Source organism: Homo sapiens, chromosome 4 (assembly GCF_000001405.40).
Source record: "Homo sapiens chromosome 4, GRCh38.p14 Primary Assembly".
Classification (NCBI taxonomy): Eukaryota; Metazoa; Chordata; class Mammalia; order Primates; family Hominidae; genus Homo; species Homo sapiens.
This window is the reverse complement of record NC_000004.12, coordinates 149338750-149364660: the sequence shown is the minus strand read 5'-3', so window position 1 is coordinate 149364660 and position 25911 is coordinate 149338750. Positions and strand designations below refer to the sequence as shown.

Below are 25911 nucleotides of genomic sequence, written 5' to 3'. Positions count from 1 at the left end.
TCTTACTCTGTGACTGGGTACCCATTTATAATAGGCCTGCTCTCTCATTTCCTTTCATCTGGTGCAGACATCCTCAATGCAATCTTGTCTCCTTGCTGGCCTCCTCTGTGGCATAAATCATGCCACCTGGACCTTAGGAGCCATTAGTTGTCATTCATTCTTAATATCTGCTATAATTCCAGTAACTGAATGAATATACTCTGTCCTCTTCTTATCCTGACCTTAGATCTTTTCCGGTCAGCCAGCCTTCTCAGAATTCCCATACCCCTTGGGAAACTCAGCAGTATCAGTAGCTCTCCTTATACCACCTTGAGCTGTGATATGTTCTGTAAGGCTGCGGAAACATCATCTAGACAGTGCCCAGAGCTATTGCTATAGCCCCCTTCAATAAAACCCCTGCACTCCTGATTTTCCCCAAAACAATATGTGACTTTTATCGTTGAGATTTCTCTTTTTCTATTCCTCCAGTGTGAGGTACAATGGGAAAGGGTGCCTGGTCATTTTACAAGAGCTCAGGATCTCATAAATCTCTTCTATTTTGTTCCTTCTCCAGTCTTCCAGTTCAGTTTTTATCTCCTTAAAATTGGAAAGGGTTCTTATGCCATTACATAATCTTCTTTACCATATGTCTCTATGTGTTAAATTCTTTAGGTTCTGTCTGATATTTTGGATCCTAAGAATGCTATTGATTCTGAACAAAGTCATACTATTCCAGTAGAAGCATTACTTTTGAAAGTGTTGTTTATGCTTTATGTTTTAAAACCTTCTTGAAATGCACTTGTCTTCATTGTTCTTGGGTTTTTCTGCTTGAGGGCAGTGAATATATGGAATGCCAGAAATTTATTCACTTCAATTTAAGTAGCTATGTTTATTAAATAGCTATATGTCTTCCATGTTTGCAGATTATTAAAACAGGACCTGATTATTTAAAAACTCAGAAATACAATATGTTTTAGCAACTTATAATTTTTTCCATGTTTCAAAATTGGTAAACTTAAGAAATGAGGTGATTTGTTTCCAGTCACCCTTTAGGAAACCATTATTCCTGCCTGGATGATAGACTCAGGAGCTAGGAGCAGTGAGGGTTGGAAAGCAAATGTTTAGTATTTCAAAACAATCTCTGAAATACATAACCACATACATATATATATGTAGATACATATATAGTCACAAAAATAGTCACAATCTCTGCTGTCTATGAAGACAATCCCAATAATTGCAATAAATTCTACAAATTCTCCTTGGATATCTTGCATGCACTTATAAATACATCATTCTAGACTGCAACATGGAATTCCATATTCCTGGACCCACCCTACTTCAGTCTGCCCCCATTGCAGTGATGTCTGATGCTGTCACTCTGAAGCTCAGGAAGCCTGATGAAGGTGTCTTGCTGCTGCTGTTGCCACTGACACCTGTCCAGGTCATGCTGTGGTGATTCCACAAGGAGTCAAGTCAACCTGCAGAAGGCAGAAGGCCCTCTCCTGACATTTCTACCCTAGTTACCCTGATCCCAGAGCACTGATGCTCTGTGCTCTCAGCAACCCAGGACATTGTTTAAGAGGATAGCTTTTCAGTTACTTTCATTTTCTCACTGGGGACTTCCTCTCACAAAACATAGGCCAAAGTCTTCCTACTTATGGTATGAAAAGGTGAGGAAGAAGAGAGTGGAAAGTCAAAACAAAATAGCAAGAGGCATTCCAGAGCACATAAAATCATCCAACTCTACCAACTGCCATTATCTTATTGGAACAAGACTGAAATACTCAGCTCATTCTCCTCTTACTAAAAGTTTTTCCCCAAGAAGTTTTGTTGGTCAGAGGTCCCTAGAAGATTTCTTCTGCCAGTGTTCTGGATGTATCCCTTTGAGAAATTCTGAAGTACACAAAACGTAAGTTCAAGCTTGGACCTCTGCTATATAAATATAACAACATTAGTTGTATTAGTCTGTTTTTAGCCTGCTGATAAAGACATACCCTAGACTGGGAAGAAAAAGAGATTTAATTGGACTTACAGTTCCACATGGCTGAGGAGGCCTCAGAATCACGGTGGGAGGTGAAAGGCACTTCTTACATGGTGGTGGCAAGAGAAAATGGGAAGAAGCAAAAGCAGAAACCCCTGGTATAACCATCAGATCTCATGTGACTTATTTACTATCATGAGAATAGCACAAGAAAGACTGGCCCCTATGATTCAATTACCTCCCCATGGGTCCCTCCCACAACACATGGGAATTCTGGGAGATAAAATTCAAGTTGATAGTTTGGGTGGGGACAGAGCCAGACCATATCATTCCACCCCTGGCCCCTCCAAATCTCATGTCCTCATATTTCAAAAATCAATCATGCCCTCCCAACAGTCCTCTGAAGTCTTAACTCATTTCAGCATTAACCCAAAAGTCCACAGTCCAAAGTCTCATCTGAGATAAGGCAAGTCCCTTCTGCTTAGGACCCTGTAAAATCAAAAGCAAGCTAGTTACTCCCTAGATACAATGGGGGTAAATACAACCATCCCATATGGGAGAAATTGGCCAAAACAAAGGAGTAACAGGGCCCATGCAAGTCCAAAATCCAGTGGGGCAGTCAAATTTTAAAGCTCCAAAATTATCTCCTTTGACTCCAGGTCTCACCTCCAGGTCATGGTGATGCAAGAGGTGGGTTCCCATGGTCTTGGGCAGCTCCATCCCTGTGGTTTTACAGGGTACAGCCTCCCTCCTGGCTGCTTTCACAGGCTGGTATTGAGTGTCTGCAGCTTTTCCAGGCACACGGTGCAAGCTGTTGATGGATTTAGCATTCTGGGATTTGGAGTAAGGTGGCCCTCTTCTCACAGCTCTCCTGTGCCCCAGTAGGGACTCTGTGTGGGGGCTCTAACCCCACATTTCCCTTCTGCACTGTCCTTGCAGAGGTTCTCCGTGAGGGCCCCACCCCTGCAGCAAACTTTTGTCTGGGCTTCTAGGCATTTCCATACATCTTCTGAAATCTAGGAGGAGGTACCCACACCTCAATTCTTGACTTATGTGCACCCACAGGCTCAACACCATGTGGAAGTTGCCACAGCTTGGGGCTTGCAACCTCTGAAGCCACAGCCTGAGCTGTACGTTGGCCCCTTTCAGCCACAGCTGGAATGGCTGGGACATTAAGTTCCTAGGCTGCACACAGCACAGGGACCCTGGGCCCTGCCCACAAAACCACTTTTTCCTCCTGGGCCTCCAGGCCTGTGATGGGAGGGGCTGCCATGAAGGTCTTTGACATGGCCTGGAGATATTTTCCCAATGGTCTTGGGGGTTAACATTAGGTTCCTTGCTACTCATGCAAATTTCTGCAGCCAGCTTGAATTTCTCCCCAGAAAATGGGGTTTTCTTTTCTATTGCATACTCAGGCTGCAAATTTTCCAAATTTTTATGCTCTGCTTCCCTTATAAAACTGAATACCTCTAACAGTACCCAAGTCACTTCTTGAATGCTTTGCAGCTTAGAAATTTCTTCCACCGGATACCCTAAATCATCTTTCTCAAATTCAAAGTTCTGCAGATCTCTAGGGCAGGGGCAAAATGCCGCCAGTCTCTTTGCTAAAATGTAACAAGAGTCACCTTTACTCCAGTTCCCAACAGCTTCCTCATCTCCATCTGAGACCACCTCAGCCTGGATCTTATTGTCCATATCACTATCAGCATTTTGGGCAAAGCCATTCAACAAGTTTCTAGGAAGTTCCAAACTTTCCCACATTTTCCTGTCTTCTTCTGAGCCCTCCAAACTGTTCCAACTTCTGCGTGTTACACAGTTCCAAAGTTGCTTCCACATTTTCGGGTATCTTTTCAACAATGCCCCACTCTGCTGGTACCAATTTATTGTGTTAGTCTGTTTTCACCCTGCTAATAAAGACATATCCAAGACTAGGAAGAAAAAGAGGTTTAATTGGATTTACAGGCCTCAGAATCATGGCATGAGGTGAATGGCACTTCTTACATGGTGGCAGCAAGAGAAAATGAGGAAGAAGCAAAACAGAAACCCCTGATAAACCTATCAGATCTCATGATACTTATTCAATATCATGAGAATAGCACAGGAAAGATCAGCCCCCATGATTCAGTTACCTCCCCCTGGGTCCCTCCCACAACACTTGGGAATTCTGGGAACTACAATTCAAGTTGAGATTTTGGTGGGGACACAGCCAAACCATATTATAAGTGCCTTGGTATACACAGAGAATTGACTCCAGGACCTCCGGAGCATGCCAAAACCCACAGATGCTCATGTTTCTTATAAAAAATGATGTAGTATTTGCATATGACATACACCTGTCCTCTTGGATACTTTAAATTGTTCTCTAGATTACTTACAATACCTAATACAATGTAAATACCATATAAATATGTATTGCACTGCATTTTTTAATTTTTGCTTTTTATTGTTATAGTGTTATTTTTATTGCATTTTTCCAAATATATTAGATCCACAGTTAGTTGAATTGAGGTACAGAAGGCTGACTATACTTATATACATTAATTGCCATCTAGAACTGTATTTTGCTTTATGTTGATTATGATAATCATCTGATGTGCAGATCCTGATACTGTGTTAGGTAGTGCTTTCACTTTATTTTTTTTTTAACTAGATGACTATGAGTAATATAATAATTGTAGTGTTTTTCTCTCTTGTTTATTTCTTGATTAGGAAATGGAGACCCAGAAAGCTCTCAGCTAGTGCCCTTTATATCACCCCATAGCACTTAGCATGAATCTAAACAAACAGGACTCAGTAGATACTCAATGACCTAAATGCTTATTTTATTTTGCAAAACTATCTGTGTTTGTTTTCTTTCCAAGTTGCTCTACAAAGATTAATTTTAAAGTGTTCACAGGAAGTAGCCAATAGTGTTGAATGATATATAACCTTGAATAAGTTGTGGAATTTGCATGAAGAATAATAACATGGACTTGTGAATATAAAAATTTGTAGATAATTTAAAAGAAAATATAGGACACAATAATACTTCAAACCTTTGAGAAAAAGAAATATCCCATTTCTGAAAATCCAGCCTGTAAATCGTGTATTCAGCATATTATCTATTATTTGAACATTTCCACAATTTAAAGCCACTTCTTTAAACTGTTGAAATAGAAACAAAAATGTTGTTTCTAATTATTTCCTAATTATCTACAATAAAAATTACTTTCTACCATGCATTCCAATCTAGAAGCTTAAATCTCTAATATTGCTATTTTTACATAAATAATATTTTCCATTGAAAATGTAGATAAGCAAAAAATATAAGGCTAAATTATAACCAAACTCATCATTAATATTTTGGTATTTAATATTTTACATGTATTTCTATCTGTATAACTTTAAAATACCGGTATTATAGGTACTGCTTTTGCATTGAAAAATACATTGTAACACACTATGGGTTAATAAAATATGCTTTTATGACATATTTTAAAGGCCTTTGTTGAAGTTACTTTCCTCTAGAGAGGTTTTTTATTTGTTCTTGGGGACCAACGAGCATTAAAGTTATTTGAGATATTTTTGGATCACACAAGTGACATGAACTGGAACACCAAACCAAGGACCAGCTTTGGGGTTATTTATGATCTCTCTACCCAGCTTATGGAAACAGGGAAATTTCCTTGATGTCCCCTTCTTTAGGTTTTTTCATTTTTTCTTTCTTTTTACTTTTCCCTCTCTCCCTCCTTTCCTGCACCCTCCCTACCCCTCAACCCGTGTCTCTCTCTCTTTCTCATTTCCACTCACTCTGATAGCACAGCTCTCCACTGTGGTCTCATGATATACTCATGAGAGTATATCATGATATACTGTCCACTGTGCTGTCATGATACACTCCCTCTTTTGGGTGGATCCTATGCTTTATTCTCTGTCCCCAGCCTACAACCAAAAAAACTGGCTTGGCATTTCAAATATTTACTAAGCTTACTGATTTCACTTGTTTTTGGCTTTTGCATTTTTCTTCCCTCTTTGCCAGCTTAGTAATGAAGTTAAAATATATTTAATATATTATCCAGGATTTGACTTGTTTTTATCAAAAGGACTGTTCTCTGAGTCTATTCTGCCATATGACAAAAATGAGGATTAAGAAACTCACTCAAAACCACTCAACTACATGGAAACTGAACAACCTGCTCCTGAATGACTACTGTGTACATAACGAAATGAAGGAAGAAATAAAGATGTTCTTTGAAACCAACAAGAACAAAGACACAACATACCAGAATCTATGGGACACATTCAAAGCAGTGTGCAGAGGGAAATTTATAGCGCTAAATGCCCACAAGAGAAAGCAGGAAAGATCTAAAATCGACACCCTAACATCACAATTAAAAGAACTAGAGAAGCAAGAGCAAACACATTCAAAAGCTAGCAGAGGGCAAGAAATAACTAAGATCAGAGCAGAACTGAAGGAACTAGAGACACAAAAAACCCTTTGAAAAATCAATGAATCCAGGAGCTGGTTTTTTGAAAAGATCAACAAAATTGATAGACCGCTAGCAAGACTAATGAAGAAGAAAACAGAGAAGAATCAAATAGATGCAATAAAAAATGATAAAGGGGATATCACCACCGATCCCACAGAAATACAAACTACCATCAGAGAATACTATAAACATCTCTACGCAAATAAACTAGAAAATCTAGAAGAAATGGATAAATTCCTCGACACATACACTCTCCCAAAACTAAACCAGGAAGAAGTTGAATTTCTGAATAGACCAATAACAGGCTCTGAAATTGAGGCAATAATTAATAGCTTACCAACCAAAAAAATTCCAGGACCAGATGGATTCACAGCCGAATTCTACCAGAGGTACAAGGACGAGCTGGTACCATTCCTTCTGAAACTATTCCAATCAACAGAAAAAGAGGGAATCCTCCCTAACTCATTTGATGAGGCCAACATCATCCTGATACCAAAGCCTGACAGAGACACAACAATAAAAGAGAATTCAAGACCAATATCCTTGATAAACATTGGTGCAAAAATCCTCGATAAAATACTGGCAAAACGTATCCAGCAACGCATCAAAAAGCTTATCCACCATAACCAAGTGGGCTTCATCCCTGAGATGCAAGGCTGGTTCAACACATGAAAATCAATAAACGTAATCCATCATATAAACAGAACCAAAGACAAAAACCGCATGATGATCTCAATAGACGCAGAAAAGGCCTTTGACAAAATTTAACAACTCTTCATGCTAAAAACTCTCAATAAATTAGGTATTGATGGGACGTATCTCAAAATAATAAGAGCTATCAATGACAAACCCACAGCCAATATCATACTGAATGGACAAAAACTGGAAGCATTCCTTTGAAAACTGGCACAAGACAGGGATGCCCTCTCTCACCACTCATATTCAACATAGTGTTGGAAGTTCTGGCCAGAGCAGTCAGGCAGGAGAAGGAAATAAAGAGCATTAAATTAGGAAAAGAGGAACTCAAATTGTCCCTGTTTGCAGATGACATGATTGTATATCTAGAAAACCCCATTGTCTCAGCCCAAAATCTCCTTAAGCTGATAAGCAACTTCAGCAAAGTCTCAGGATACAAAATCAATGTGCAAAAATCACAAGCATTCTTTTACACCAATAACAGACAAACAGAGAGCCAAATCATGAGTGAACTCCCATTCACAATTGCTTCAAAGAGAATAAAATACCTAGGAATCCAGCTTACAAGGGATGTGAAGGACCTCTTCAAGGAGAACTATAAACCATGGCTCAATGAAATAAAAGAGGATACAAAGAAATGGAAGAACATTCCATGCTCATGGGTAGGAAGAATCAATATGATGAAAATGGCCATACTGCTTAAGGTAATTTATAGATTCAATGCCATCCCCATCAAGCTACCAATGACTTTCTTCACAGAATTGGAAAAAACTACTTTAAAGTTCATATGGAACCAAAAAAGAGCCCGCATTACCAAGTCAATCCTAAGCCAAAAGAACAAAGCTGGAGGCATCATGCTACCTGACTTCAAACTATACTACAAGGCTACAGTAACCAAAACAGCATGGTACTCTTACCAAAACAGAGATATAGACCAATGAAACAGAACAGAGCCCTCAGAAATAATGCCGCATATCTACAACTATCTGATCTTTGACAAACCTGAGAAAAACAAGCAATGGGGAAAGGATTCCCTATTTAATAAATGGTGCTGGGAAAACTGGCTAGCCATATGTAGAAAGCTGAAACTGGATCCCTTCCTTACACCTTATACAAAAATTAATTCAAGATGGATTAAAGACTTAAATGTTAGACCTAAAACCATAAAAACCCTAGAAGAAAACCTAGGCAATACCATTCAGGACATAGGCATGGGCAGGGACTTCATGTCTAAAACACCAAAAGCAAAGGCAACAAAAGCCAAAATTGACAAATGGGATCTAATTAAACTAAAGAGCTTCTGTACAGCAAAAGAAACCACCATCAGAGTGAACAGGCAACCTACAGAATGGGAGAAAATTTTTGCAACTTACTCATCTGACAAACGGCTAATATCCAGAATCTACGATGAACTCAAACAAATTTACAAGAAAAAAACAAACAGCCCCATCAAAAAGTGGGCAAAGGATATGAACAGAGATTTCTCAAAAGAAGACATTTATGCAGCCAAAAAACACATGAAAAAATGTTCATCATCACTGGCCATCAGAGAAATGCAAATCAAAACCACAGTGAGATACCATCTCACACCAGTTAGAATGGCGATCATTAAAAAGTCAGGAAACAACAGGTGCTGGAGAGGATGTGGAGAAATAAGAACACTTTTACACTGTTGGTGGGACTGTAAACTAGTTCAACCATTGTGGAAGTCAGTGTGGCAATTCCTCAGGGATCTAGAACTAGAAATACCATTTGACCCAGCCATCCCATTACTGGGTATATACCCAAAGGATTATAAATCATGCTGCTATAAAGACACATGCACACATATGTTTATTGCGACACTATTCACAATAGCAAAGACTTGGAATCAACCCAAATGTGCAACAATGATAGACTAGATTAAGAAAATATGGCACAAATACACCATGGAATACTATGCAGCTATAAAAAATGATGAGTTCACGTCCTTTGTAGGGACATGGATGAAGCTGGAAACCATCATTCTCAGCAAACTATCGCAAGGACAAAAAACCAAACACCGCATGTTCTCAGTCATAGGTGGGAATTGAACAATGAGAACACATAGACACAGGAAGGGGAACATCACACGCTGGGGCCTGTTGTGGGGTGGGGGGAGGGGGAAGGGATAGCATTAGGAGATATACCTAATGCTAAATGATGAGTTAATGGGTGCAGTACACCAACATGGCACATGTATACATATGTAACAAACCTGCACGTTCTGTACATGTACCCTAAAACTTAAAGTACAATAATAAAAAATTAAAAAAAGAATATTTACTTTGAAAGATTAAAGATATATTATGTGTACTTATATTTGTATTCTTCCTAAGTGAAATTATTCTTTAAATGTTTATGAAATAATAATATTATAATTGCCAGTGAAATTTCTTTAAAAAGCTTATTTTATGATATCATAGGGTAGATAATAATCCAGCAACTATTTTTTAAATACTTATGAAGTATCAGAGTCATGTCTGTTTTTAAATTAATAAGCTTTCAGTATTATCATTATTCTACTTTTACAGAAATATTGGTTTACAGAAGTATGGAATGGAAAGTAGAGTGTTCCCATGTACTCTCACACCTGCACCCCAGCCCTATTAATAGATTCTCCTATTATTAACACGTTGCATTAGTGTGGTACATTCATTACAACTGAAGAGTTAATATTCATGAAATATTATTACAAATATATCTTTTGACATATAGTTTTGGGTCCTTTCAATAATTGGACAAGATATATATTATCCCCAATTTCAAAAGTAGGGAAACTAAGATTGAATACCAAACCTGGATTCACTCAGAAATGTATAAGAACATGAACTTGGGCCCTTATTTTCACTTTTCTTTCTATTTTAACTCTTTTGAGTAATGTTATATTATAAGTATCTCTTGCTTGATGAAATATATGCTTGGTATTATCAAAGAAATTCATAATAGGAAAGCACTTAATCCTGAGATCTCATTTCAAGAACTAGAATGCATATCTCATGCTTTTCTAGTATAACTGTCGTAAATTAGGATTAGGACACTAATCTGTGGTTGCCTTTCCCTGTGATCTCACTAGGAATGAAAACTAATAATTGTTTTGCAATTACTGTGGCCTAATTTGTCAGTTTTTTTTTTTTTTTTTTTTTTTTTTGAGACGGAGTCTCGCTCTGTCGCCCAGGCTGGAGTGCAGTGGCGGGATCTCGGCTCACTGCAAGCTCCGCCTCCCGGGTTCACGCCATTCTCCTGCCTCAGCCTCCCAAGTAGCTGGGACTACAGGCGCCCGCCACTACGCCCGGCTAATTTTTTGTATTTTTAGTAGAGACGGGGTTTCACCGTTTTAGCCGGGATGGTCTCGATCTCCTGACCTCGTGATCCACCCGCCTCGGCCTCCCAAAGTGCTGGGATTACAGGCGTGAGCCACCGCGCCTGGCCAATTTGTCAGTTTTAAAAAATAAGTTTTATTTTGTATGTTTAAAGTAAGCAACATGATGTAATGGGATACATATAAATAGTAAAATAGTTACTATAGTGAAGCAACATAGCCATCATCTCACATCATTCCCGTTTATTTTGTTTTTGCGACAAGAGCAACTGAAATCTTTAGTGGGAATCCCAAATACGGTACAATTGTATTGCCTGTGGTCCTCAGGTTGAGCATTAGGTCTCTAGACCTGTTCATCTTAAACATCTGCTACTTTGTGATCCCTGAGCTACTTTCCCCCATTTCCTCTCCATCCTCCACCTCTAGTAACCAATTTGATTCTCTATGTCTGTATATTTGACTCTTTTTTTCAGATTCCACATGTAAGTGAAATCATGCAATATTTTTTCTTTCTGTATCTGGCTTATTTCACTTAATGTCTTTCAAGTTCACTCATGTTGTGGCAAATGGCAGGATTTCCTTCTTCTTAAGGCTGAATAATATTCCATTGTATATATATGCTACAGTTCTTTAATCTATTTGTCCAATGAAATATATTAAGGTTGTTTCCATATCTTGGCTACTGTGAATAATGCTGCAGTGAATGTGCACGTGTAGATAATCTTTACAAGGTGGTGATTTCATTTCCTTTGGGTATATGCCCAGAAGAGGGATTGCTGGATCTTAGGGTAGTTCTATTTTTAATTACTTTAGGAAACTCCATACTGTTTTCTAGAATGGTTACACCAATCTAAATTCCCACCAATAGTGTATAAGTGTTTCCTTTTATCCGCACTCTTGCTAACATTTGTTATCTAGACTTTTTGATAATAGCCATCCTAAGGGGTCCGAGGTGATATCTCATTGTGGTTTTGATTTGCATTCCCTGATGATTAATGATGTTGAGTGCATTTTCATATACCTGTTGTCCATTTTTAAATCTTTTTTGGAAAAATGCCTATTCAGGTCCTTTTTTAAAGTGGCCCAATTTAATCTTGTTGTTATAAGGCCTTGCTCTTTGTCAAATAACAATATGGAGATACATTAACCCAGAAACAATGCCTTGTTTCTTATAACACCTCAAGTCATTAATTTCCTTTTAGCCATGTTGATTATTCTTCTTATAATTTTAACTGGATTTTGGCAGCTGGTTATGTTTTTGTTTAATAACAACTATAGGACCTAAACAGCAAAGATATACTACCCTATCTATAAATTATTTCTTTGTATAATGGTGGCCACAGTAAATCTATACCTTTTATTTATTAATTGCAAAGTCATTTTATACATAAAGATGGATCTATACAACCAATCTATATGAATAGTGGTTTATGTTAATTTAAATATCATTATCAGAACTGATTACACTTTAATGTAAAAAAAGTCAATACTGTTTGTCTTAAAAGCAAACGTGTTGCATCTAATTTATTTCAAATACGATTTTCCCTCAGTGCTGGTAGGAAATTGGTTCCAGAATCTCCCTCGAATATGAGAATCCACAGATGCTTAAGTCCTTTATATAAAATGGGGTAGTATTTGCATATAATGTATACCCATCTTCCCATATACTTTAAATCATCTCTAGTTTACACGTAATACCTAATACAGTAGCTACACACCTCTTCATTCATGTGGATTCAACATAGTACTTGTGTAGCAAATTCAAGTTTTACCTTTCAGAACTTTGTGAAATTTCTTTTTCTGAATAGTTTTTATCTGCAGTTCCTTGAATCCATTACCAGGGAACCCACAGATACAGAGGGCTGACTATATTCTGTATATTAGTGGAACCCAGTTTCACCCATCCCTTCCCTCAATGCTTTGGTCTAACAGTAACTTTGAGTCTCTTGGCATGATATATAAGGTAACACACTACACCCGAAGGAAATGAGCCCAAGTCCAGTCTTTTGCATGTTCTAACACAACCATAATTAGTTTCCTGTAACTTATAGAATTTCAAAACCATGGTACATTACTATCATATTAATTGAAAATATATTAATGTGACTGTATGTTTTGTATTATAGTAAATGGACATCCAGCACTCAAACGAGCTAACATCCGGGTTGTTGGAAAGTTGGTGGCCCGATCCATAAGAGAAAGGAAAATGAGACAACATTATAAGTCATGTAAAGTTGAATGATGTTTCCAACATATTATTACCTGTAATAGTTAAACTTCTCTACCCAAAGAGACAAGTTAACACTGGAGGTGGATCAATTCTGTATGAGTAGGAAGAAAGGATAAAAATCTTTGAATATAGAAAGAACTTTGACAAGTTTATCTATAATTTCTAGTATTTTTGGATGAACACCATTCATTTGATCTCCTTCATAAAAAACATCTCTTTTATCATAATGAAGTAAACCTGCAGAGTGTCAAGTACTCCTTTCATTAGACTATAATTTATGTTGTTCCATTACCAATAACAACCATAAAGAAACTTTAAAATTCTTATTTCTAAAACTCATGAATCTGGTATACAATACTGTTGGATTCACCTTTTTTGTTCTTTAAAAAGGTAACAGTGTGATGTTTCATTGAAATCATATATGTCAAAAAATTTCTTTGTTTTCCATAATGTCCTTTATTATGTAAAGTTTTTGGAAATGGTTGTTTTAAACTGTGTTAATTTTTGGTAGAGTCATGGTATTATTTTTCCCTACTCATTGCTCATTCTGAAGTAAAAAGGTGAGAAGCAATATACAGTATTCCTGAGTATTCCTGAGTTGATTTGCCTTAGCACTGAAATAATTTTTTTTTTTTTTTTTGAGATGCAGTCTGGCTCTGTCACCCAGGCTAGAGTGCAGTGGTGCAATCTCAGCTCACTGCAGCCTCCGCCTCCAGGGTTCAAGCAATTCTCCTGCCTCAGTCTCCCAAGTAGTCAGGACTACAGGTGCATGCCACCACACCCAGCTAATTTTTGTATTTTTAGTAGAGACAGGGTCTCACCATGTTGGCCAGGCTGGTTTCGAACTCCTGACCTCAAATGATCCGCCTTCCTCAGCCTCCCAAAGTGCTGGGATTACAGATGTGAGCCACCGCACCCAGCCCCAATGCTGAAAGAATTTGAAGCAAAGTTTTCTTAAGAATCTTTAATTTAATTTTATCCATCCATCTATCCATCCCTCTATTTTGAATGGAATTAGAGAAACAAGTGAGGAACCATAATCGAAGGAATAGAGTCTATACATAGCATAGAGGCTAGATATGAAAAGAGCTGGGAACTACATGACAAGTGTCCCATTGTTTCACAGCTTTTATTCTGCATCCATTACTTCTGTAATAGTCTCTTTGATTTTAAAACAAACAAAAAACTCTCAGGTTATTTTTATGCAATTGAGTTTACTATAAGAATATCTATGGAAGTTATTAAATCTTTAGAAAAGCCAATTACAAGAATCATGTTAAGTCAGGCCTCACCAAAACCAAACTCAAGGTGGACTAAAAATCATGATGAAGCGCTAACCAGAAAATTGTAACAAAAAAACCTTTGAGCAGGGCAAGGAAGTGATTACTAGCTAAAGCTAAAATGTGGAATTTGGCTTACCTGTGAAATTTAATTATGCATATTCTCCTTACTGATAATTGAATTTTATTTTAAAGGTAAAAGTATTTTTTGTTTACATACTGAAAAAATAGAAAATGCGCAACTTTTTAAAAAAGGGAAAAATTATGCAAGTTGAATATAAGCATGATTACAAGTCATCAGCCTGCTCCTTTTTTAAAACATAATTAGGATAAAAATTTGCCTACATTTCAACCACTGCTATTCCAAAAACATTAGGAGCAAAATCATGGAGTTAAAATGAAAGGCACTTACAAACTTAAATATAAGATTTCTTAATGAGTGTTGTGTAATCACTATTCCAAGTAGTAAATATATTTATAAGAGAAAATTAATAATATCACAATTACTTTATACAAATATAAAAGTTGTTCTGATTATGACAGTTTGGGACAGGATGTGGAAGTTCACTTTTCATTTAATAAAATGTGATTGTTCTTGTTTCAGGTTTTCTACATTTGACTCCTTGATTTTTAGCAAGTTGAAGTAAGGCTACTGAATGTCTTTTAGAGGTGTGATCCTACATTAAGTTCAGTGACAATATTTCACTCTAGAGCTGTAGAAGACAGTGTAAGGTCATGGAAAAGAAGCCTTCACTTTTCAGTAGTCAGTTTCTATATAAAAATTGGCACTTGGTGCTCATCAAAGAACAAGAAATATTGGATATGCTCTAAATGTCCATTGTGTTTTTGAGCCAACTACCTGATGGAAGTCATCACTTATATGTAAATGAACTGTCAATGGCTTGCCACAGTTGGCAATCACTGGACTGTGAAGGGTATGTCTTAATAAAAACTGAAGCTCTTCACAGACTTTGATTTACTGGAAATAAAATAGAAGAGTCCTCTGAGACTACAAAGGACACTTGTTTCAGATAAAACATCTAGACAGTAGCAATATATTTAGGGCTTTTATTATAGCAAAACTGCAAATTAGAATGGAGTGGTGAGAAAGTTCCTGTGACCCAGCTGAATTCTAAAACACTGCTTCTGACTGCAGTAATATGATCTTTAAAATAGCTAAGCCAAATTAAATAAAAGTGCATTAAGGAAAAAAACAGAAACAATGCAAGGTCAAGATTCAGGTTTGTTACATCTCTTAAATTGTTTATGACTTGTGTATTACATCTTCTTATGTATCTATAATTTTTTTAATCAGTGCAACTATTAGAATAGTTGAAAGCCCAACTTCTCTGGTCCTATAACATGGACTTCTCACAATATTCAAATTTAAGAGGATTTTTCTTTCCTATTCATTCCTTTCCCCAACTTCCATCCCAAGCACAAACACAATTGAAACACGGAATTCTGTGTAACTATTAATATTTTTATTGTTTAATTAATAATAATATATTTGTAAAATGCTTTTGAGTTGGCAGTATACTTTTGCACCAATATGAAGCAGCTTGAATATGTAGATCACATTTTTATATTGACTACTTTCTCCCAAAGCACAGTATGTTCACAGATGTACATCAGTCAGGGTAGGTTAAAAGTGTTAAACGGCAATCCTAATAATCCCATTGCTCACTTTACATTCCAGTGTGAATAGGCAGGGACTCTGTTCCATTTTTTTGTTTTCAAACGGAGTTTCACTCTTATTGCCCAGGCTGGAGTTCAATGGTGTGATCTCGGCTCACTGCAACCTCCACCTCCCATGTTCAAGCGATTCTCCTGCCTCAGCCTCCCGAGTAGCTGGGATTACAGGCATGCACCACCACACCCGGTTAATTTTGTATTTTTAATAGAGATGGGGTTTCTCCATGTTGGTCAGGCTGGTCTCGAACTCGCGACCTCAGGTGATCCGCCTCCCTTGGCTTCCCAAAGTGCTGGGATACAGGCGTGAGCCACCGCGTCTGGCCTCCGTTCCATTCTTCAGGGCCAGCACTGCAGCCTTTGCACTCAGGCAATAGACAAAAAAGAGAGATTGTGGAGAAAGCTGACTTTCTTAACCACTTCAATCTGAACTTGGAACTTATCACTTCTACTCACATTCTAGAGGGGAGAACTTGTTAGCTGGTTCCCTCTAAATTATAGAAGTCTAGGAAATGTGGTCTAGCTTTGTATCAAAGAAGAGAGTGTGCCAATTTCTGCCAAAGAAAATGAGTTTAATTCCTCATTATTTTAGGAAACAAGAAATATTTCAAATAGCTTCACTTAGATTGTCATAAATCTGGTTTAAAATTTTTATTATAAAAATATCCAAACAATCCAGCCTTTCCTAGTTTCTTCTAGTTTCTTCCTAGTTTCTTCAAGATTTTGATAATAATTCCCTTGCACAATTCATCAGGAATCCTGAAAACAGCTAGCATCAATGTAAAGAAAACATATATTTTTTAAAAAAGTATTGATAGATACTTTTCCTTCTGGAATGAAGAACTCTGGGTTTTATTTTTGTTTATTTTTGTTTTTTGTTACTCAAGTACAAATTATGTAAAGTAAATAATTTTCAGTAATATGCTGATAAGAATAATTTTTCTTAATGAAAATAACAACAACAACAACAATTTTCGGTTTAGGAAATAGGCTATCAGAAACAAATACTTCCAAAACAGTGGAGAGGGACACAAAATGATATTGTCTCCAGATTTTTCTATGTAAATAATCAAGAAAAGAAAGGCCAATAAAACTGTGATAAGGTATGACTGTCTTACACCTCAGAAGTAATTCTTAACTTTATTCTAATAGGTTGAACAATTAAAAATTCTCTCTCTTCCCTCTCTTTTATGACTTGGAAACAAGTCAGGGGAAGGAAAAAGAGAAACCTTAAAGAAACAAAATTCTAAATAGATTTGCTAACAGTTTTGAACAAATGTGCTAGTTTAAATCTGCTGTCTTCAAGATTGCAAGATCTTTCTGGAATAAACCCTTAAACTTCCAAGATTTGGGATTGTTAAACAGATTTCATATTAGATATTTTTAAATTTGCGTGTCTCCTGATTTTTTTGGAGAAGTCTGCATATTTTGCTAATTTTCCACATTGTAGAACACGTATTTTCAATGTAATAATGATAATATTACACCAAACACTATTCAGCCTTCCTCACCCCCACAGAAAACTTTGCTTTAGAGCTTGGTTATGTAGGGATAAAGGGCAAGCACAGAGCATTCATCCTACTGGTATACCGCCTGGTATGGGGCCAGGTTCTGAAGTCAGCAGCTGTGGGGTGGCTTTCTGATTCAGTTTCCTGATTTTGGCAAGTGAGTTATGGGGTAATACAAGGAGTATTCATGGAACACCTCTTGCAATCTGTTTCTTCTGCAATCGCAACAATTTTGAGTTGTCTATGTGTCTTAGTAAATATCTTTCTGATTAATACAGCTAGTGTTACCCTGTCTTCTCTGAGAATCCTGACTCATGAGTTATCTTTCCTTCCTTCCTTCCTTCCTTCCTTCCTTCCTTCCTTCCTCCCTCCCTCCCTCCCTCCCTCCCTCCTTTCCTTCCTTTCCTCACTTCATCTTTTCCTCCCTTATTATTAAATAATGCTAGTCAATAAAGGCTCTACTAATAAAAATATATTTAAAAGTTAAGGTGCAGTTTTCAAAATGAAGACTTTTGAGGTACTCCATAAGCATATGCCAGATATCAGATATCCTGGTATGTCACATTGTTCCAAGCAATCCTAGTTCCACTTTTCCTCTGCATATTACTGCAGCTTCATCTTACTGGCAAGAATATTTGATATCCTAAATAGTATTCCTATAAGTGATTCTCTATACAAGAAAAGGCAGAGGTATCAGAAATGTAACTTTATATTTGATAGCAGCATGATTATTTATTTATTTATTTATTTTTGAGACGGAGTCTTGCTCTGTCATCCAGGCTGGAGTGCAGTGGTGCGATCTTGGCTCACTGCAAGCTCCGTCTCCCGGGTTCACGACATTCTCCAGCAGGATGATAATTTTATAAAACTCCAGAGGCTTGACAGTTGCTTATAATTCACAAAAATGAAAAGATGCAATAGGAAGATATTTATCAATTTAATCTCTCTGAATTTTGACAACATGTATATTAAAGACTAAAATATTTGTAAATTTAGTAGTAAATTTAGTACAATTTCAATGATAATGTAGTTATTCTGGAAGAAACGTCTCTCATGTAATTATATGACTAACAGAAGAAATATCGGGACTTTGTAATGTGTGAAATATGATTATAATGAAAACTGATGTTGTCTTATGCATGTGTAGGTTCTATAGATTTTCACTGTAAACCAAGAAACACGGCTAATCTGTAAAAGAGCCTGAAAACATGCATCTTTAAAACATCACCAGCTTTTTGATCTCAAATAGGTGATTTTCTTGATAAAAGTGTTTTTTAAAAATAAAATTCTCCTGTACTAAAAGAAAAATACCAATAACAAAAAAAGACTGTGAGGATAAAAATGTGAGTAACTATCTTATAGAATGGAGTAGCTGGAGTAGGTATTACTTATCTAGTCTAAGGCCCTCATTTTACAAAAGTAAAAGCTGAGATGAAGAGGGTAAGTAAAGTCATTCAGCAATTTAGTGCCTGAGCTAGAATTGGCATTGACTTCTGATTCCCAATTCAATCTTCTTTATCCTATTTTATATACCTTCCCAGAAGACAAAGTGAGTGTGTATTAGTTAACTAGAAGGAAGAAGGATCTACAATGCAAGCCCAAACTGGGCAACAACACAAAGAAACTACACACAACCCATGTGATGAATGCCTCTTTCTGACTTCTTCAATAATTTCCCTTCCCATACACAGAAAAATCTCTCTGGTGTTCTTGCTTGCATCTCCCTTTTCCTTGTGCTTTAGAATAGGTTAGATAATTTGATCAATTAAGTTGGTTCAAGATGCTAATGAATCCTCATGGCTTCATGTATCACCTTGTTTGCATTTTAACAAGGCCTGTCAACTCATCGTGTATGACTAATGATGAGAGCTTTAGACATCTCACATCTTGTGCAACCCATTTCAGGGGCATCCTGGTAATCTTCATGTCATATGGATTGACTACTAATATTATAGAATTATAAAAGCCTCCCTATCTATACATTTTATTTTGTGTGTTTGTTATGACTTTTTTTAAGTGAGCTTCCCTCCTAGTATGCATCTTGTAACTACATGATTACATCAATACATTATATTATTTCAGGTTTTATGTAGGGAAAATACTTGTTTAATTTTAGATCCCAGGCTAGCTAGCACAGAATCTCTGCATTAAACAGCCACAAAGAATTACATTTTTTAAAAAACCTCATGCTTCTTTTAGAAAATAATTTACCAATTCTTCTCAACTCTTTTTTCAAAATATTTCTGGATTTGTCCCTTTTTTTTTCATTCCAGCATTCATTCTGCTAGTCCAGGTCCTTCTAAGTCTAGACTACTTGATATGTCTCAGAATTGTCTCAGATATAAATATCCCCATTCTTCAATTCATCTAGCATTGTATGGCCCTCCTACTCAAATCTGTTCTATAATCTCTCAATTATAACTGTCTAGACCCTTAGCTGAAGTTCAAATCTTCATGCTTATATCCTATGCTGCTTACAACGTATCTCCACCTTATTGACCAAACTGCTTACCACCCCAAAAAAGCCATATTCCTGACTTAGTTCATACCATCAACCCTTCCCTCCCATTTATTTTCTCCTTGTCTGCTGAAACTTTAGCTTATCTTTCTAGGCAACCAGTCCTAGAGCCACCTTCAAAGTTTTCCCAGAAAACTAAGTCATCTTCAGTGCTTTCATTTCCCTTCTGCCAGCGTGAATTTGTCTGCACCATTTATTTTTGTTATTAAAGCTATGTTGCACTTCTTACTTGCGCTGGTCTCACTTTGCTTCAGAAGCATTACTTTTTTTTTTTTTTTTTTTTTTTAGCACATGCATGTTTATCTCTTTAGTTCTTCTGTGAGTCATACAGATGACTAGGTCCCATAGGAACACAGGAAAAAAAGCAACATGTTGCAGACAAACGTCAAAATTTTTAACTCACCAGAAAAACAAAAGAACAATTCCTGAGAACAATGATTATCCACATGCCTAACACTAGTGCAAGCTTTCTAGAAATTCTTATTGAACTAAGATCATTTAAACTAGACTAGTTTACAAAGCAGAGTAGACTAGCAAGGGTATTATCAAGAAGCAAAAGGCTTTAGTTTTTTTTATCCTACAGCAATTTCTAGAAAATATATAGATAGTAACAGGTCATAAAAAGACTAATCAAAAATATATCATCTAAATTGAGATCATTGTGAGTGTAAAAGGAGAACCAAAAGGAACTAAAATTATGTATTTATTTTTCAACAAACTAGTTTTATTATATTGGTGAACCTGTACAATAGTCAGTCACATCCAAAAACATTACAAAAATACAATTTTTTTAAATAACATACATCTATAGGCCTTAATGTAATATAGAAAGATGTTTTCATTGAATATTTAAACATTAACAATTATATAAACAGAATAATTATTTTTGGTATTATAAGGGAGAAAAGGGGATATGTTTTCCCCACTCATCACAAGGTTTATGGCATACACCCCTATAACAAAAGAAAGATTAACAGGAGGAAAGCATAACACAGTCATGTAATCAAAGTTTTATGTGACATGGAAGCCTTCAGAAATGAAGATCCAAAGACCCAGGGAAAACTGCATTTTTATTGTTAGTCTGAGGAAAGAAGTGGATAGTCATGAGGAAGCATGATTAGACAAAGGGGGCTATGATCTAATCATGACAATAACCTGGGGAGAACTCAGCAAGGCCTGTTTGTTCAGATCCTCCTTGGCCTTGCTTTGTAGCACTCCCCTCCCCTGGTACAGGGCAGCAACCCTCTAGAATGATAACCTTTTGACTGACTTTCAGGAGAGGTAGGTCAGAGAATTCCTTTATGGCCAGGCTTCACACAGAAAGGTGAGGGAAGGTCAGAGTGAACTTCTTGCTTCTGTGACTTCTGTCAATGTGCTGTATTTTGAGATATCACATTCTGAGCCTTGACAGTATAAATTCCCATTTTTAAATCGCATAATTTCATGAATTACTTACCTGTAGCCCTTTAATACAATGTCATTGGTATGTTTCCCAGATATGGTCTCATTTTCATTTTTTTCATAAAATTATGTACAGTATTATTCTAAGTTGCATTTGATGGCTAACAATTTTAAAATTGTGACACCTTTAATTAAATCTTTTCTTTAGATTATATTATTTTTAGCCAAGAAGCCAAAAAAAAAATTTTTATATGTGCAGTAAGTTCAGAGCAAATTCTGCTAAGTGAAGATATTCTTAACTGTAAATATTTTGTGTGTGTTGATATATATATATATATTTCACCCCAAATGTTTTCAGAGATATTCACTTTTGGTGTCCTGTTAAGGTATATTCTTCAACAAATATTTTTGCATGAAAAAAGTATATCAAATATATATATATATATATATATATATATATATATATATATATATATATATATGTATAATTTGTTGAATGTTTTACCAACTTCAGGTCCTGCAAAATCATTGGCACTGTCAGTTGCATTGCATCCAGAACATAATTTGTCCAATTAAATATTAGAACTCCAATAACATAGTGCTTCTACCAGTCAACATACTTCAATGTGAAATTACAGAATTTCAGAATTACAGCTTACATGCCGTTAAAACTACTATTGTTTCATTTGCTCACTTCTTCTATTGCTTTTATGGGGATAAATGTCAGTGTCTTTCTGTTTCCAAGAATTGTGATTTAATAAAATATTTAAAAGATGGAATCTTTTAGCAATGATGTTTATCATATATTTTTATTAAGGGTTTTATATTGATTCTGAAAGAAAATGAACCCCAAATCTAAAGGACTCATGAAAGGTTCAATATCATTGTAGGACTCTTCAGTTGAATTACACAATAGTTCTTTAAAGGAAAGATATTTCTGAAATATTTTTCAGATTGATGATGGGCAAGAAAGAGAGAAAATGCTTATTGCCATGCTGAAGTATTGCTGCATTTTCAATCTCATCTTCATGCCCTCAACTTTGTAGTAGTTATTCTAACTCTGTTTACAAATATGTGTATGTGGGTTTGAAATTTAACAACTCCAGCTTCTATTTCAAGTTATAGAACATTACAGCTTGTTTGTATGCAATTAGGAATTATGTATGCACTACAACCAATTTTAGGAATATTTCTGCCCTAAAGATTTCTTGATTTTATAAAGACATTGTTTTTACCAAAACACCATTCTTCACAAAATTTATACTATTACCACTGCAAAAACAAAAATTTGATTTTCTATGTTAAACTTTTAAACTAAATTTACAAGTGTTCATTAACGTGTCAAATATGTCACTTTTAAGAGAATAAAATTCCTAAAAACTTTAATTTCATGAAATATATGAAAATTATTAGTATTATTAGAAGTATCTTAATCTATTATTGTTCTCTAAATAGGATCTGATTATGTTAATGTAATCTGATTTGTGTAGTGTCTTTCTGCCAAAAATAGTTAACACATAACAGCTATTGCTTAACCTGGAGAACATGTTAAAAACAAACTTGAGGTTTTGCTGGCAAGATGGCCGAATAGGAACAGCTCCAGTCTGCAGCTCCCAGTGAGATCAATGCAGAAGGTGGGTGATTTCTGCATTTCCAGCTGAGGTACATGGTTCATCTCATTGGGACTGGATGGACAGTGGGTGCAGCCCACAGAGGGTGAGCCGAAGCAGGGTGGGCATCACCTCACCTGGGAAACCCAAGGAGTCAGGGGATTTCCCTACCCTAGCCAAGGGAAGCCGTGAGGGCCTGTGCCATGAGGAATGGTGGACTCTGGCTCAGACACTGCGTTTTTCCAATGGTCTTCGCAACTCGCAGACCAGGAGACTCCCTCCAGTACATATGCCACCAGGGCACTGGGTTTCAAGCACAAAACTGGGCAGCCATTTGGGCAGACAATTAGCTAGCTGCAAGAGTTTTTTTCATACCCCACTGGCACCTGGAATGCCAGTGAAAGAGAACCATTTACTCCCCTGGAAAGGGGGCTGAAGCCAGGGAGCCAAGTGGTCTGGCTCGGCAGGTCCCACTCCCATGGAGCTCAGCAAGCTAACATCCACTGGCTTGAAATTCTTACTGCCAGCACAGCAGTCTGAGGTCGACCTGGGACACTCGAGCTTGGTGAAGGGAAGGGTGTCCGCCATTGTGAGGCTTGAGTAGGTGGTTTTACCCTCACAGTGTAAACAAAGCCACCAGGAAGTTCAAACTGGGTGGAGCTCACCACAGCTCAGCAAGGCTGCTGCTGCCAGACTACCTCTCTAGATTCCTCCTCTCTGGGCAGGGCATCTCTGAGAGAAAGGCAGGAGTCCCAGTCAGGAACTTACAGATAAAACCTCCAGCTCCCTGGGACAGAGCACCTGGGGGAAGGGGCGGCTGTGGGTGCAGCTTCAGCAGACTTAAACATCCCTGTCAGACAGCTCTGAAGAGAGCAGCAGATCTCCCAGCACAGTGTTCGAGTTCTAATATGGGTCAGACTGCCTCCTCAAGTGGGTCCCTGACCCCGGTGTATTCTGACTGGGAGACACCTCCCAGTAGGGGCCGAAAGACACCTCATACAGGAGACCTCTGGCTGGCATCTGGGACAAAGCTTCCAGAGGAAGGAAAAGGCAGCAATCTTTGCTGGTCTTCAGCCTCCACTGATGATACCCAGGCAAACAGGGTCTGGAGTGGACCTCCAGCAAACTCCAGCAGACCTGCAGCAGAGGGGCCTGTTAGAAGGAAAACTAACAAACAGAAAGGAATAGTATCAACATCAACAAAAAGGACGTCCACTCAGAGGCCCCATCCGAAGGTCACTGACTTCAAAGACCAAAGGTAGATAAATCCACGAAGATGGGGAGAAATCAGCATAAAAAGCTAAAAATTCCAAAAATCAGAATGCCTCTTCTCCTACAAAGGATCACAACTCCTCACTAGCAAGGGAACAAAACTGGACAGAGAATGAGTTTGATGAATGGACAGAAATAGGCTTCAGAAGGTGGGTAATAAAAAACTTCTCCAAGCTAAAGGATCATGTTCTAACCCAATGCAAGGAAGCTAAGAACCTTGAAAAAAGGTTAGACGAATTGCTAACTAGAATAACCAGTTTAGAGAAGAGCATAAATGACCTGACGGAGCTGAAAAACAGCACAAGAACTTCGTGGAGCATATACAAGTATCAATAGCCAAATTGATCAAGTGGAAGAAAGGATATCAGAGATTGAAGATCAACGTAATGAAATAAAGCAAGAAGGCAAGATTAGGGAAAAAAGAATGAAAAGAAATGAACAAACCTACAAGAAATATGGGACTATGTGAAAAGACCAAATCTACATTTGATTGGTGTACCTGAAAGTGACGGGGAGAATGGAACCAAGAATGGAACACTCCTCAGGATGTTATCCAGGAGAACTTCGCCAACCTAGCAAGACAGGGCAACATTCAGATTCAGGAAATACAGAGAACACCACAAAGCTGCTCCCTGAGAAGAGTAACCCCAAGACACATAATCGTCAGATTCACCAAGGTTGAAATGAAGGAAAAAATGTTAAGGGCAGCCAGAGAGAAAGGTCAGGTTACCCACAAAGGGGAAGCCCATCTGACTAACTAAGTGGATCTCTCAGGAGAAACTCTACAAGCCAGAAGAGAGTGGGGACCAATATTCAACATTGTTAAAAGAATTTTCAACCCAGAATCTCATATCCAGCCAAACTAAGCTTCATAAGCAAAGGAGAAATAAAATCCTTTACAGACAAGCAAATGCTGAGAGATTTTGTCACCACCAGGCCTGCCTTACAAGAGCTCCTGAAGGAAGCACTAAACATGGAAAGGAACAACTGGGACCAGTCACTGCAAAAACATACCAAATTGTAAAGACCATCGACACTATAAAGAAACTGCATCAACTAAGGGACAAAATAACCAGTTAGCATCAACATGACAGGATAAAATTCACACATAACAATATTAACCTTAAATGTAAAGGGCTAAATGCCCCAATTAAAAGACACAGACTGGCAAATTGGATGATGAGTCAAGACCCATCAGTGGTGCTGTATTCAGGAGACCCATCTCATGTGCAAAGACACACATAGGTTCAAAATAAAGAGATGGAGGAAGATTTACCAAGCAAATGGAAAGAAAAAAAAAAAAAAGCAGGGGTTGCAATCCTAGTCTCTGATAAAACAGACTTTAAACCAACAAAGATCAAAAGAGACAAAGAAGGGCATTGCATAATGGTAAAGGGATCAATTCAACAAGAAGAGCTAACTATCCTAAATGTATATGCACCCAGATTCAGAAAGCAAGTTGTTAGAGACCTACAAAGAGACTTAGACTCTTACACAATAATATTGGGAGACTTTGACACCCCATTGTCAATAATAGATCAATGAGACAGAAAATTAACAAGTATATTCAGGACTTGAACTCAGCTCTGGACCAAGCGGACCTAATAGACATCTACAGAATTTGCCACCCCAAATCAACAGAATATACATTCTTTTCAGCACCACATCGCACTTATTCTAAAATTGACCACATAATTGGAAGTAAAACACTCCTCAGAAAATGCACAAGCATGGAGATCTAAACAAACAGTCCTAGACCACAGTGCAATCAAATTAGAACTGAGGATTAAGAAACTCACTCAAAACTGCACAACTACATGGAAACTTATCAACCTGCTCCTGAATATCTACTGTCTAAATTACAAAATTAAGACAGAAATAAATAAATTTTTGAAATGAATGAGAACAAAGACACAACATAAGAATCTCTGG

At 37.2% G+C, this 25911-nt stretch overlaps 1 protein-coding gene across 8 annotated transcripts in view, besides 1 other annotated feature; it reads left to right on the top strand.

Moving 5' to 3' along the window:
• Nucleotides 1-12952, top strand: part of IQCM (IQ motif containing M) — a 464135-nt gene extending 451183 nt beyond the window's left edge. For all 8 annotated transcript variants that reach the window (NM_001378180.1, XM_017008904.3, NM_001363507.2 and 5 more), the window contains one exon: nt 12595-12952. In NM_001378180.1, the coding sequence (NP_001365109.1) occupies nt 12595-12710 (116 nt within the window). In that variant the 3' untranslated portion in view covers nt 12711-12952. The remainder of the gene's footprint in view (nt 1-12594) is intronic.
• Nucleotides 22518-23717: an enhancer, noted in NCBI's record as "BRD4-independent group 4 enhancer chr4:150262096-150263295 (GRCh37/hg19 assembly coordinates)". NCBI's record gives its function as "activates an origin of replication core promoter dependent on BRD2, P300/CBP, MED14 and CDK7 cofactors, and independent of BRD4, by STARR-seq in HCT116 cells {active_cell/tissue: HCT116}" and the evidence as "EXISTENCE:reporter gene assay evidence [ECO:0000049][PMID:35650434]".